General features: G+C 47.1%; 1 protein-coding gene across 2 annotated transcripts; it reads right to left on the reverse strand.

The window, feature by feature from the left end:
• Positions 1–206: 206 nt before the first annotated feature.
• Positions 207–9,566, reverse strand: KLHL38 (kelch like family member 38). Of its 2 annotated transcripts, none has more exons than NM_001081675.3 (4): positions 9,351–9,566; positions 7,342–8,692; positions 2,674–2,779; positions 207–1,793 (listed from the first exon to the last, which is right to left on the reverse strand). In NM_001081675.3, the coding sequence occupies exons 2-4, from the start codon at positions 8,689–8,691 to the stop codon at positions 1,504–1,506; spliced, it is 1,746 nt and encodes a 581-aa protein (NP_001075144.2). In that variant the 5' UTR covers position 8,692; positions 9,351–9,566; the 3' UTR covers positions 207–1,503. The 2 variants fall into 2 exon arrangements, with proteins under 2 accessions (NP_001075144.2, XP_047277700.1); XM_047421744.1 differs by having other exon boundaries at positions 7,342–9,176.
• Positions 9,567–13,702: the final 4,136 nt, after the last annotated feature.

Consider the following 13,702-nt stretch of genomic DNA (forward strand, 5'->3'; position numbering starts at 1 on the left):
GGGACTGAGCCAGTGTGGGAGGCACCTTGAGATAACGGGAGCTATAGAGATAGTCAGCCCTGGCATCTGAGGGCAATGACTGCTGTAAGCACTGAAGGAATTTGTTGACTTTCCCCAGAAGAGCAATCCTCATAACACTGACCAAAATGAACATCCTGATTAATTATGCAGGTTTATAGCTCCCCAGAGGCTGCAGAAAAACATCATTTGGCACCAGAAACAAACTTTATTCTGGCAATGCAGGATAATTTTACAAACATTAGATACTGAATTGTGCATATATCTCTGGAATTTCAATGTACTACATCCATAGAATGCAGAAAAACAAGGTCAGGGCCAATTTCTCACGCTGCCACCTGGACCAAGCAGTTCCAGGAATCCTCTGGGTTCTCTCAGCCCTCTTGTTCCAGATTTCAGTGGTGTCCTGGGCAGATGTGGTTTTTGTCTGGATTTCTCTCTTTGGGGAAATGCTTCTAACCCATTATATGCAGTTTGGATGGGCTGTCAGTGACAACAGGTAACCCCACCTCTGTCTGTGGGGATGTGGTCCAGGACTAGCCAGTCCTGGCAACAGTGATTGGCTCAAGAGGTAGACATGGAATTCAAAAGAGGCCCATAAGCATTGTTTTTTAGGTTTAATATATGGATAATGGCAAAGTTCTCTCCTGAAGATATAAAGCTGGAAAATGAGTCTGGGTTTATCATTTGTCATTGTCCACACACTGTGTGGGTAAATGAAGAAGATTGCTAGAGAGAGAGGAAAACCTAGGGATGAGAGAGAGGAAGACAGAGGGGAGACTGAGAGAGAGAGAGAGAGAGAGGGGCAGAGAGAGGCAGAGAGACAGAGAAGAGAGAGAAGCAGAGAGGGGGAGACAGACAGAGAGAGAGAAGAGAGACAGAAACTGAGACAGAAAGGAGACAGGCCAGGCGTGGTGGCTCACGCCTGTAATCTCAGCATTTGGGAGGCTGAGGCCGGTGGATCACTTGAGACCAGGAGTTCGTGACCAGCCTGGCCAACATAGTGAAACCCTGTCTTTACTAAAACGCAAAAATTAGCTGGACTTGGTGGCACATGCCTATAATCCCAGCTACTCAGGAGGCTGAGGCGTGAGAATCGCTTGAACCTGGGAGGTGGGGGTTTCAGTGAGCTGAGATAGCACCACTGCACTCCAGCCTGGGCTACAGAGTGAAACTCCATCTCAAAAAAAAGAAAAAGAGAGAGAGAGAGAGAGAGAGAGAGAGAGACAGACAGAGATAGGGGAGAGAAAGAAAGAAGGGGGAAAGACAGAGACAGATGGAGGTGGGGGAGAGAGATAAGGAGAGAGGCAGAGAAGGAGAGAGAGAGTTCTGGCAATGCAATGCCTAGTTCCAGGCCTCCCGACTCTGGTACCTCAGTCTTGTGAGCTCTCCCTGCAGCCTTTAAGGGTTAAGCCCTTTGGAGCTGGGTTTGTGTCCCTGGCGACAGAAGGCATTTTGACTAGGGCAGAAGGTTTCTTGTCGACCTCATGGGAGGCCAGACGTGCGGGGTATGCACTGGAGAGTGAGGCAGGCATGGTCAAAGAGCTTGTGCGGCAGCTGTCCCTGGGATGTCCAGGTGTCCGTCTCGGGGTCGTAGCAATCGAAGGAGGCGGAGTCCTCAATGTTGCAGTCCGTGGTCAGCCGCCGCCCGCCCGTCACGTAGAGTTTGTTTCCCATCACTGTGGCCCCATGGTGCATCCTCCGGTCTTTCATGTCCGCACATTTGACAAATTTGTTGGATTGAGGGTCATAAGCAAGAATCCTCCTTGTGTAACCTGAAAACCAAATGACACATGGGCAAGCTCAGTGTTGCTCATCTGGGACTGGAGGTCAGCAGTCCTGGGACGCGTCTGACTCCTGCCACTGCGTAAGGCTGAGGCTGGGGCTCTGAACTAGCACGTGGGATGTTGAGCTAACCTGCCAAGGCCTGCTTTGTGGCAGAGTGGGGGCTGGCACGCAAATCTGCCTGACTCTGACCTTCACCCCAAGTTAAGGCAGCATATAAGCCATTCTTAGATTGGGAGCGGCCTCCTGATTCCTGTAACTTTCTCAGCCTCATTGGCCTCTTCCTCTCTCAAATGCCCACTCAAGAACTATGACAATCCTTTGGAAACTCAGAAGTGGGTTCCCCACACCAGTCCTATCTGGTAGTTACTTTTAGGATCCTCGTTTTATGGATGGACAAACTGAGGCACAGAAAGATGTTTAACTTGCTAAAAAGTATATAGCCAGTTAGTGACAGAGCCAGGATTTGAGCCCAGTTCCATCTGACCCCAATACCAGTCCTCTTAACCATGACACTATGATTTGATTACAGAGAAACAAACTATTAGTAGCTAATATTATAAGCAGAAGCAAACATGTTTTATTTACCGTGTATCTGGGATAGTGCTAAGTGCTTTAGATACACGAGTACATTAATTATCACGACAGCTCTGTGAGATAGGTATTATTTCATCCCTTGTTTACAGATAAAGACAGGGAAAAACTTCTGGATGAGGAGAGAGTTTTGTCAGATTCTCCACGCTCTTCTGGTTGGTTGGATGTGCTTTTGAAAAGACAGTCTTGTAGAATAACATCTGTCTATGAGTGACCTTTTTTCCATAGAAGGTGCCAAGTTTGTGTCACGCCCAGTGATCCTCTGTTCAGACTCACCTCCCACAATGACAATCCGCTCCCCAAGCACCACTGCAGGGGCACACACGTTCTTGATCATTCTTGTCTCCATTTTGAACCACGAGTTTCTGGAAATGTGATAAACCTGAGGGAGAGAGAGAATCATGGCACTGCATTTTAAAGTGAAATATTCTTGAAAAAAGACAGAAGTAGTAATTACGAGGGTGAACTAGGAGTGAGATTTTTCTGTCTGCTTTTTTCCAGTTTTAAAAATGTAGCTATTGTTAATAAACAAAACAGTACTGAAAAACAGGAAGAAGTATATGATTAAAAATTGATCTTATTGTGACCCCCAGGAACTCACTGGCTGTAATTCTATAGAATAGATCAAGAGTTTTGCATTGTAATATGGGTTTTACTTACCTTGCTTGGAACATGTTTTTCTTTTAATGAGAAATGAAGAAACTTGGGTATTCAGAAAACCAATGATTTTCTGATCATTTTTTATTTCTAGCTCCTGTTTAAATTTCTAAATGTTCTGGTTTATCCAAGAAGGTCATAGAGCCAAGAATAAATCTGAGGCTAAGTGAGGAAGGTTTTTGAACCGTTCATGCCCGAAAGTCATTACAGTCCTAGAAAAATGCAGCAGAGAAAGGGGAGAAAGACCAAAGAGAAGAGAGCAGGCTCTTTTGCCATGCTTTGAAACAGTGTGTCAAATCAACACCCCCGAAACATGTTCTCCTGTGAGTGTCCTCAGTTTTAAATCTGAATATCAAATGTAAATTAGTTCATTATGGGCAAAATTTAGCACAAGAGATATAGGATGAATTTCATATAAGCAAAGAAGGAACAAGAGCATTTATCTACAGAGGAAAATGGCATAGTATTCTTTGCTAGAAAGTCTTTTCCTATAAAATAAAATTACGAGGCCGGGTGCGGTGGCTCACGCCTGTAATCTCAGCACTTTGGGAGGCCAAGGTGGGTGGATCATGGAGGTCAGGAGTTTGAGACCAGTCTGGCCAACATGGTGAAACCCCATCTCTACTAAAAATACAAAAAAAATTAGCTGCGTGTGGTAGTGCATGCCTGTAGTTCCAGCTACTCAGGAGGCTGAGGTGGGAGGATCACTAGAGCCCTGGAGGTGGAGGTTGCAGTGAGTTGAGATCACACCACTGCACTCTAGCCTGGGTGACAGAGCGAAACTCCTTCTCAAAAAATAAAATAAGGTAAGATTACCAGCACTATTAAAGATGTCTAAAAAATCAGTTTACTAAATTTGATCTTCATAACCATCCTATGAGGTAGGTATTATTATTTCTTCCATCTTTCAGTTTAGAACATTGAGGCTCTGAGAGGTCAAATGACATGCCCAGGGTCATACAACTACAGTGAGTGGGAGAGCTGCTCTGACCAAGCCCAGAATCCATGCTCTTCACCACCACACTCATGGCTCTGTCTGGAGCCATGAAACTGTGGCCTTTCCTGATGAAGGCTTTTGAGACTGGAGACCTCGTGAGGTCTCTGTCTGTCCTTCAAGAAGTCAGTGAATCCTGGAAGAGGCCAAGTGCTAGAGGAAGGGAAGGTCACAATGGCCGTTTCATCGGAAAATATGTAAGTGACAAACTCTCTGGAAAGTGGGATCCTTGGAAGAAAAGCAAACACTGGTTGCATTTTACTTGAATGAATAATTGCCTCCTGGCCTTTCTGTTCTCCTTCAGCTTTGGGTATGGCTTTAAAAATAGATTAAACATTTGCTCACCATGCTCATAATACCCCAAAGAGGCTGGGGCAAGGATAACAAAGGATGATCTTTGACCAGTCAAGGAAGCGATATTTTGTTATGGTAAAGGATTTGCTTAATGCCATCCAGAAACAGGTAGAGAGAAGGCCAGGTGGAAAGGTACAGGTACAGTGCGATTTGCATCGTAACCCCATGGCAGTGTAGTTCTGAAAAGAACGCACACACACAGATGAACAAGCCTATGAAGAAAACTCTCAACCAGTGCCTGAAAATCCAACCTGCTCCATCAAGTGACTCCCAGCATTCATTTTAAACTATATTCGAATGAGTAGAATGTTTATTTCAAAGCTAGTGCAAAGTAGATAAGAAAAGCATCCAAATGAATACTTTTCCCCTTCTCTGTCTTCTTAATCCTGAAATGCAAAAGGATCCCTCAGAGGTTTAATATTTTCTTGGCTTGGCAACATCTTGTTTGATGGTACTATACATTTCTTGATATGCTAGCTTGAAGCTTAAACTCTGAGTTTTATTCTCAGAAGGTCAATGGCAGTTTTGCAATGTGAAATAATGAACGTATTTGTTGACTGTTTTGAAAAATAGAAAAGAAGGAGGGGCTCCAGCTTGACATGGAAGCACTTTGTTATCTGTCTGGTGTGGTCAGAGCCTGGAGGGGAGCAGAATGTCTCCCCCACTTCAAGTAGAGGAGTGGGATTTGGAACAGCGATTCTAGAAAGACTCGGAATCTGCCTGGATGGTCAGGGAGGAGCTGAAAATAATGGCTGGAGAAGTGAAGGCAAGAAAAAAATCTTCACTGGAACTGACCGAGTCCAAGCCATCACCACCCTTGCCTGGAACTCTAGAAGAGTCTCCCAGTTCTCCCCTTTGTCCACTCAGGCCCCCTCCAATCCCTTCTCTACAAGGCATCCAGATGGAACTTCTAAAAATGTGAATGTGTTTTACCTCATTCACCTTTCTTGAAAGCCTTCAATGAAGTTCTGTTCCTCTCAGGCTAATCCCAATTCTTTGACAAGGCCTAGAAAGCCCAGCCAGGCCAACCTCATCTCCACAGATATCCATCCCTCAAGAAGGTTCCAGGATTTTTCTAGGAGGGGCTCAGGGGTTGCGATGTGGGCGGAGGAGGTTGCTCCCGGTAGCCTGAGAAGGGGGCTGATGGAGATTGCATGAGGACTGATGCCCGCCCCTAGCCACCCCTCTGCACACTGCCCTTCTCCTCTTTGCTCTGTCTTGCAACTCCATTGTCCTGCTTTCCGCTGCCCAGGGCCATGGGCTGCACCTGTTTGTGCTTCAGGGCCTTCATGTGAGCTGCTCCCTTACCCAGGACCACTCCCCCTCCCTCAAGAGAGAACTCTGACTCCGGCTTCAGGAGGTGCAGGAGCTTCCTGCATCTCCCTCTAAGTCGGATCTTCCCTTACATGCTTTCTTAGCACCCACCCCACCCCTCCCCCTCCTCTTTTATTCTCCATCCCCACCTTCCTCTCTCCTCTCCTGCCCCTCTGCTCAAGTCAGCTTCAGCCAACTTCACAGGGTTTGCTCCAACATTCCCTTAACCCTGGCACTCTCTCTGATTCTCTCTGGACCAGCGGTGTCCAATCTTTTGGCTTCCCTGGGCCACATTGGAAGGAGAGTTGTCTTGGGTCACACATAAAGCACACTAACACAAATGATAGCTGATGAGCTAAAAAAAATCGCTAAAAAAAATCTCATCATGTTTTAAAGTTTATGAATTTGTGTTGGGCCGCATTCAAAGCTGTCTTGGGCTGTATGCGTGTTGGGCAAGCTTGCTCTAGACTGGTTTAGGGCATCCCGCCTGTGCTCTTAGAGCACCCCTCTCTTCAGCGTCTGAATTGCAACTGAGGGTTATGTGTAAATTGCTGGGTCTCCAGGCCCTTCACAATGGTTGATGTTCAACATAACTCTCATAGATGAGCAAAGTACATCTCGTGGATGCTTCTGATTGTCTGTAAAGGCAGGCTCAATATTCACGTTCTGCAGAGATTACCAGGAACTTGCATAAAGCTGGAAAACACTTAATATTCTGAAATGTGGCCTTTATTGAGCATACTTCTCAGACAGCTTGTTAGTGAAATTAATGTCTGCCGATCATTAAAAGTAGGGGTTTCCCAACCTGGCTGCAACTTAGAGTCTCCTGGGGACTTTTGTAAACCATACATTTTAGGATCTCACACAAAGATATTTTGATTCAGTGATGTGAGGTCAGGTTCCAGGGGATTTGGTCACAGAGGTGTGGACCAAGGCTTGGGAATCTTCTTTTAAGGCCTTACTGACTTGAGTTAGAAGCACCTGCCAAATTCCTATGGGACTTCACTATCTGACTTTCAATATGCTGTATAATAACTTGAATTTTTAGATATATATTTTTCTCATCAAATGAAGATAAACTCTGTGCATAGGGATGGTATTTGATATCCTTTGTTATGTATTATTTTTGCACAAAAAAATTCATAAATTGAAAAATATCTTGCTGAAAATCCTTCTTCCCTCCCTCCCTTCCTCTCTTCCTTCCTTGCAAATAACAAGTGTTGGTATGTGTGTACATGGGTGCACATGTGTGTGCATGTATGCATGTACGTATTTGTGTTCGTGCATATGTATAAATGTGTGCATGCATGTGTAGATATATGTAAATGTGTGTATGCATGCATGAATTGTATATGTGTATGCATGTGCACACGTATGCATGTTGGCATCTGCATATATGTGTGCATATGTGTATGCATGTATGCATGAATATACATTTCTGCATATATGTGTGCACGCATGTATGCATATGTGTGTTTGTGTATATGTGTGCATATATATATTTATGTGCATATATGTGTTTTTTGGTGTGTATGTATACATGTGCATGTGTGTGCAAGCAGGTGTGGGTGTGTCCAAGCACACATACTCATGCAGTTACGTGATGGGAAGAACCGGCCATTTACCTGGATAAGGCGCACAGGGTTCTGCATGATGTCCTCTCCTCCAAAGAGATAGAGTCTTTGGTCTTTCACAGCGACTGCGGGGTGGAGCACCCCCACGGGCATGCTGGCCATACTCTCCCAGACATTGCAGATGCTGTCATACCTTTCCATGGAGCCCATGAGCTCCTGCCCTTCTCCAATCCCCCCGATGGAGAAGATGAAGTTCTTATGGGCAGTGCTTCTGTGGGAGTAGCGGGCCACCAGCATGGGCTCCCCCAGCCTCCACTGATTGAGTTTCAGGGAGAAGATGTAGACATTGTGACTGACCAGACTCCTCCCTGAGCTGACAGCCATGCCCCCCAGCACATAGATGCTGCGGTGCAAGGTGATGGCAGAGGCCTTGTACAGCCGTGTCGGGAGTTTGGCAAGGCTCTGCCATTGGCCGGTCTGTTTGCTGTACAGTAGGACGTCCCTGGTGGTCTGCTGGCTGTCCTTCCTTCCGCCCAAGAGGATGAGGAAATCTTGGTAAGAGTTTCTTGGAGGGACATGCAACAGGAGTTTGCAGTCTGGGACGGTGGTGCCACACAAAGAGAACATCTGTCTCTTGGCGGTCTCCAAGATGATCTGGCATGCAGGCGAGGACTGCAGGAGGGCATCGTTGGCGATGAAGTGGTGAAAGAAGGCTGGGTGGATGTACTGCAGCCTGACCTGCTTGAACAGTTCCTGCATGTATCGCTTCCGGGCCTGGAGGTCATGCTTGATCCAAACCATGAGGGCCTCAAACACCTTTTCCTCCTCCCCACAGAGCCCATCATCTCCGAGATAGTCCCTCAACTCCAAGGCACAGAGCTCCTTCAGGTCGGCCGATGCGGCCACCTCTGGGAAGGACGTCAGTGCCACCTCCCTGGCTTTCTTCTTGAGGGTCTCGCAGCTTAAGATTTCTGAGAGTCTGATCATACCCAGGCAGTTGCTGGGGGCCAACTGGCTCTGCAAGTACGAGGAGCAGGCCTCAAACAGCTTGGGGAACTGTAGCATGGAGGCGGCCTCCATCACGGGGAGGACATTGTCAGTGGCAATATGTGCCTCCCCCGTATACACGTAGGAGACGATCTGGTCCAGGGTTGGGGGGTCAATGCCTTTCAGCTGCACTTTGGCTTCACTCTTCTCCCGGAAGCTGCTGCAGAACATAGCCCTGAAGTAGGGGCTGCTGGAGGCCAGCACGTTGCGGTGGCAGGGGATCTCCCGGGCACCGGCACAGATGCTCACATCAGTCAGGATCCTGCTTTGCCTTAAGCTGTTGAGCTGCCTCAACAAGTCAGAAGAGAAGTCGTGGTCTTTGAAGAGCAGCCCATCTAGTGACTCCTCGTCCATCCTACAAAGAGGGAAGGAAGCCCCCAGAGTCAGCAAGAGTCAAACCTTTCTCAGCTGCATGTGCTGGAGGGTTCAGCTGTGGGGACTCCAAGACCAGTGCTCCTATTCCATTCCCCATGATGTTTGCGGATGTCACCATGGATATTGTGTAGGGAAGATTGGAAAGGAAGGCCACATACATCTCAGACCTGAGCCCTTTTGGGTTATGGTTATTTTCAAAAGTAATAGGCAAATAGTATCTTCAGCTAATCTGAGAGAAACAACCAAACAAACAAACTAAAGTTGTTGGAAGTTACTCTGTTATCAGAAGCTGAAATGTTAGTCTGAAGCAAGATAACAGTCCATGGATTTGACCAGCAGAAGTTCATGAGCCTTTTTCCAGATCGATGGCATATCTGTTATTGAGTAACAGATGTCTAAACCTCTCTTTCTGGGTGTCAATCATTCCCCAAGGATGATATTCTGGAGGTGTGGCCCTCTGGTCACTGGACAGAAATGAGGGAAGAAAATGGACCTTTGATGCATATATTTAAATATGACTTCATTGAGTCTTGTTTTAAAGATAGAATAAATAAAAGGAAAGACCAAACAATCCCCTGGTTTATTGGATGACACCTGGTTTTCTACTTGCAGAAGAAATAAGTATGAGGGACACTTACCTTGTTTTGCTGCGGTGACATCCACTGGTGCCTGGTCTGACTTATCCCCCCGGAGAGTTTCTACCTCTAGCTCCAAGGGAAACCATAAACCCCAGGCCTTTCTTTCAGTTGGCAAATGATTTGTCCTGGGAGATTTCTGGATTTGTTTATGCTGAAGGCACTTTCATAGTTTTCTAGAGCTTTGTGCAAGGACTGCTGGGCAGGGAGACAGTGTATACATTCCAGGGCTAAGAATAGTTGCATATGTACTTTCCACTGTTATGACATGTGACTTTCCAGTTGCCTTTTGCAGCAACCCGAGGGCCTGCAGGGCCGGCGCATGCCCACATGCCTCGTTTCCTTGGCAAGTGTTTACATCGGCAAAAATAGATCGGGAGGAGCGGCTTCTCTTAGAGAAGACTTTGCTGTCTGCTTGGAACCATCCCGAGTCCCCTGTCCTAAAAGTGCTTGGGAATTCTAGCCGTCTGTAAACAGGTTGCTGTGACCTGTGGAGAGTCACTGAAGATGGTTCTGGGCCACAGTGGAGGTGGCAGGTGGTCACAAGGGAAGCCGGAACATGAGCCTGTGGGTGCTATTCAATGGATCTCTATTTCCCACCATCTGCCTGGCGGGATCGCTGGGGAGAGCTGTGATTTCCTCCTCCAGGATCCTAGGTGATGAAATCCATGACAAAAGTTGTTGTTTTTTGTTGTTGTTGTTGTTGAGCATCCCAGGGTTTCCAGACTCCTGAAGGCCCAAACCTTTGTCAGGTCTCCTTACTCAGGAACCTCTGATTGACAGTGGTAAGGCCGAGCTCCTCCTGTCGCGTCTGCCTCTCCCAGACACGTGCTGATTGCTCTTCAGCTGGCTTTTTATAGTTCAGACTTCCTTTTCTGTCTTACTTTTCCATTTTGTCTTGTCTGGCAGCTTGAGCTAGAGGCAGGAGGCAAGGCATATTGCTTTAGGGAGAGAGAGAAAGAAGATGAAGGAGGATGAGGAGGAAGAAGAAGCAGGGACAGAGGGAGGGAGAGAGACGAGAGGAGGAAGAAGAGGAGGAGGAATAGGAGGAGGAGGAAAAGAAGCAGGAGGTAGAGAATCGGGGGAGGAATGATGATAGTGATGTGGTAGGAGGCAGCTTTCAATAACAATCAGAATCACGAGAGAGAGTGAGGGGGACCTCAGGTCTGTTCTGCCCCTGCCTTCAGGGAGGTCCATGATTGTCTTAGCCACAAAAGGCAGGGAAGCCTGACTTTGTCTCCTACTCAACGTCTTGCTCAACTAGTGCAATGGTCTTCCATGCATTTTTTTTTCTTTGCTCCTAGTACTTCTCTCTCCAATACATCCACCCTGTCTTCTCTGGAGCAGCCCCTGGGAAGGCAACTCAGAATTTGCCAGTCCCCAGCATCAGGCCCTTCAGTGGCTCCCCATGTCTGCAGGACTCCTTAGCCAGAATCGGACTGGTGTCCTGTCTGCTTCTGGAACCATGTCTACTGCCACTCATGTGTGGTAATCTAGCTCCATGAGACACTTACAGATCCTTGTATGCATCTGGTCACTGTTGGGGAAGCTGGGCTGGCCTGGCCTTTGGGACACCACAGGGCAGGGTGGAAGGAAGAGGGTTTCTCATTCACAGTTGCCGATCGTAGAGTGGATTATGCCCAAAAGAGTCCAGAAGGTCAAGGCCAGGGAAATGGATCCAAAACATGTTACTGGGGCCATGGGCCTGGAGGCCAGAATTAGGAGCAGGAGGCCTAAGCTAAGGGGGTCAGAGACCCATGGAGGCACAAGCAGGGAGCAGGTGAGAGGAGCTGTTCCTCCATATGTCCGAGTTGGTGAGCTGTGCTGGTGACATAATAAGTGAGTAGCCACATTCCTGAAAGAGCCCAGGGATCCTCTGATTCGTACTCTATCCCTTTCTATGAGCTCTTCCCCTCTGCTCACTCTATCATTTTCACTGTTTCTGTTCGTCTTCCAAAACTTGGTTTATGTATCACTTCTCTGCAAGTCTTTTTACCCCTCTCTAAGACACTTAACTTCACACTCCTCTGTGCAGTTTCCATTCTTCTACATGCCTCTAATGGCATGCCTCATACCTCACTGAGATTATGTTTACTTCCCTGTGTCTCTCTTATTAGAGTGGAAGTCTCTGGGCAGCAGGAATCTTGACTTCATTGTAGCTCTACTCCTAGCACCCAGCACAGGGCCTGGCTTATAGGGGGTGAATTTCATACACTTCCTGCATTGAGCTGGAACAGAATGGGGAATGGGGAAAGAGAGGGAGCTTTGCTGGGTGGACTTCACACCACTGTCTGCTGTGCCGGTTTTGCAGAGCTGCCATGTATGGCTTACTGCGTAGACTGCCCTGCAAATATGCTCTGGAGCAGCCCTGATTATCCACATAATCAAATCCAATAATGTGATGAAGTGAAAAGTAAAACACTTGTTTTATACTGCAGTGCAAGACTTAAGTTCAGGCTGGGAACTGAACTGAGGTCCTCCCAACGCCAAAGCTAGCATTCTTGTCCTTGACCTCGGAGTGAACATGAGGAAGAAATAACTTCCTTAATGCTCTGAAACACCTGCATGATTTCTCTTCCAGGCAGCAAGCAAGCCAAGGATTTATTCTGAGGGTAATAGGTAGGGGATCCTAGGAGTGAATTAACACAGCACCGTTCCCTGGGAAGGATGTTGGATTTTCCCCTACATCCCCTTACTAATTAAACTTTCTGGAATCCAGCTCTGTCAATTGTTCAGATAGACCTTGGTGTGCAGCATCAATGTCTGACCAACTTTACTAAATCTTTTGGTTTCTAATGTTTAGAAAAAATAGGCCCTGTTTTGTTGGCCTGGCCTACCAGGAGGATCCTGGTTCTAGGTCAGATGTCAAATGTCAAGACACAGAGTCTTAGTGTTCAACATGGCAAACACACACATATAAGCCCAAGCTTGACCCCAAAAAGCATCTCTACCACCCACATGTAGCCCAACCAGCCCATTCATGAGTTGACTTCTCTCAGGGAGGTTTATACTTTTTGTCTTAACTTTCATCTAGAAGATGTCTTAGTCTAGGGCCTGAACATATGGCAACCTAAAAGAAATGACATCAATGAGGACATTCAGCTCATTGTTTCTCCTTTTTTTGTTTCTTCTGAGACAGGGTCTCACTCTGTGGCCCAGGCTGGAGTGCAGTGGCATGATTATGGCTCACTGTAGCCTCCAACTCCGAGGCTCGAGTGATCCTCCCACCTCAGCCTCCTGAGAAGCTGAGACTAAAGGCATGAGCCACCACATCCATCTATTTTTTGTGTTTTTTGTAGAGACAGGGTTTTGCTATGTTGCCCAGGCTGGTCTTGAACTGCTGGGCCCAAGAGATTCACCCACCTTGGCCTCCCAAAGTGCTGGGATTACAGGCATGAATCACGGCCCTCCTTTTGATGAAAGTCAGTATCATAACAAGTCAAGGCCTGAACTTTGGGGGCAGAAGGGCTGGGGATAATCTTGGCATTTCCCCTCAGTATTCATGTGGTCTTGGGTAAGTTATTTATACTCCTCCAGCCTCAGTTTCTCCATCTGTTAAGTGGGGATAACCATCCTTGTCACAGTGAAATAATGTATGTGCAGTATGCAGTAAAGTGCCTGGCACAGTGTATATTCATAGTAAAGTATGGTCAGTATGATATTATTACTCTAAAATTAATCTCATTAGATTCCAATGGGTCTTGGTGCCTGGTTTTCAGTGTCTCAATTGGTCCCCTGTGCATTCTAGCATTTTCCTTTTCCTTGAGCAATTGCTGTGTTCCTCATGATCTACTTAGCCTCCAGGAGTCCTGGCATTCAGTCTGGGCTCTGCTATCGACTAGCTGTGCATCTTTGGATGAGTCAATTAACCTCTCTGCACTTATTTCCTCACCTGGCCCTTCTAGATCACCTTCCTGTGGTTTGTACCCTGAGGTGTTCTCTGCAATCTGTGGCCTAGAACAGGGACTGGGAGAAACTGAGACTGAGGGATGAGGGCTCTTCAGAGCTTCCTCACGGCTCTCGCCTGAAGCCAAGTGCAGAGAAGAAACCTAAGTCGAGCTCCCAGCAGGTGCCCTTGATGAGTTTGCCCTTGTAAGTCAATCCAGAAAGCCTTCATTTTCCCTCCTGGAGTTTTGGATTGCCATGGTGGGCACTTTGACTCAGGAGGCCTTGGTTTCTTTCCTATCTGGGTGTGCGGGGTCTGGGTCCCCAAGGAAAGGGCAGGCTGGCTCCTGTCAGCAGCAGGTTTGACAACAACAGCTGGGAAGCCACAAAACACTCTCTGCCACAACCCTACCCTCAGTCCTCTCAACCCACTCGGGGCCGTGCTCCCCATCTGCTCCTTCCAGGAGAAG

The sequence above is a fragment of the Homo sapiens genome, chromosome 8 (genome assembly GCF_000001405.40).
Source record: "Homo sapiens chromosome 8, GRCh38.p14 Primary Assembly".
Taxonomy (NCBI): Eukaryota; Metazoa; Chordata; class Mammalia; order Primates; family Hominidae; genus Homo; species Homo sapiens.

Coding starts and splice junctions, on each gene's coding strand:
- KLHL38 (NM_001081675.3), bottom strand. CDS start 8,691: ATGGACGAGGAGTCACTAGATGGGCTGCTCTTCAAAGACCACGACTTC. Junction 2,780..7,341: donor ACCCTGTGCGCCTTATCCAG/GTAAATGGCCGG, acceptor TCTCTCCCTCAG/GTTTATCACATTTCCAGAAA. Junction 1,794..2,673: donor GCGGATTGTCATTGTGGGAG/GTGAGTCTGAAC, acceptor TTTGGTTTTCAG/GTTACACAAGGAGGATTCTT.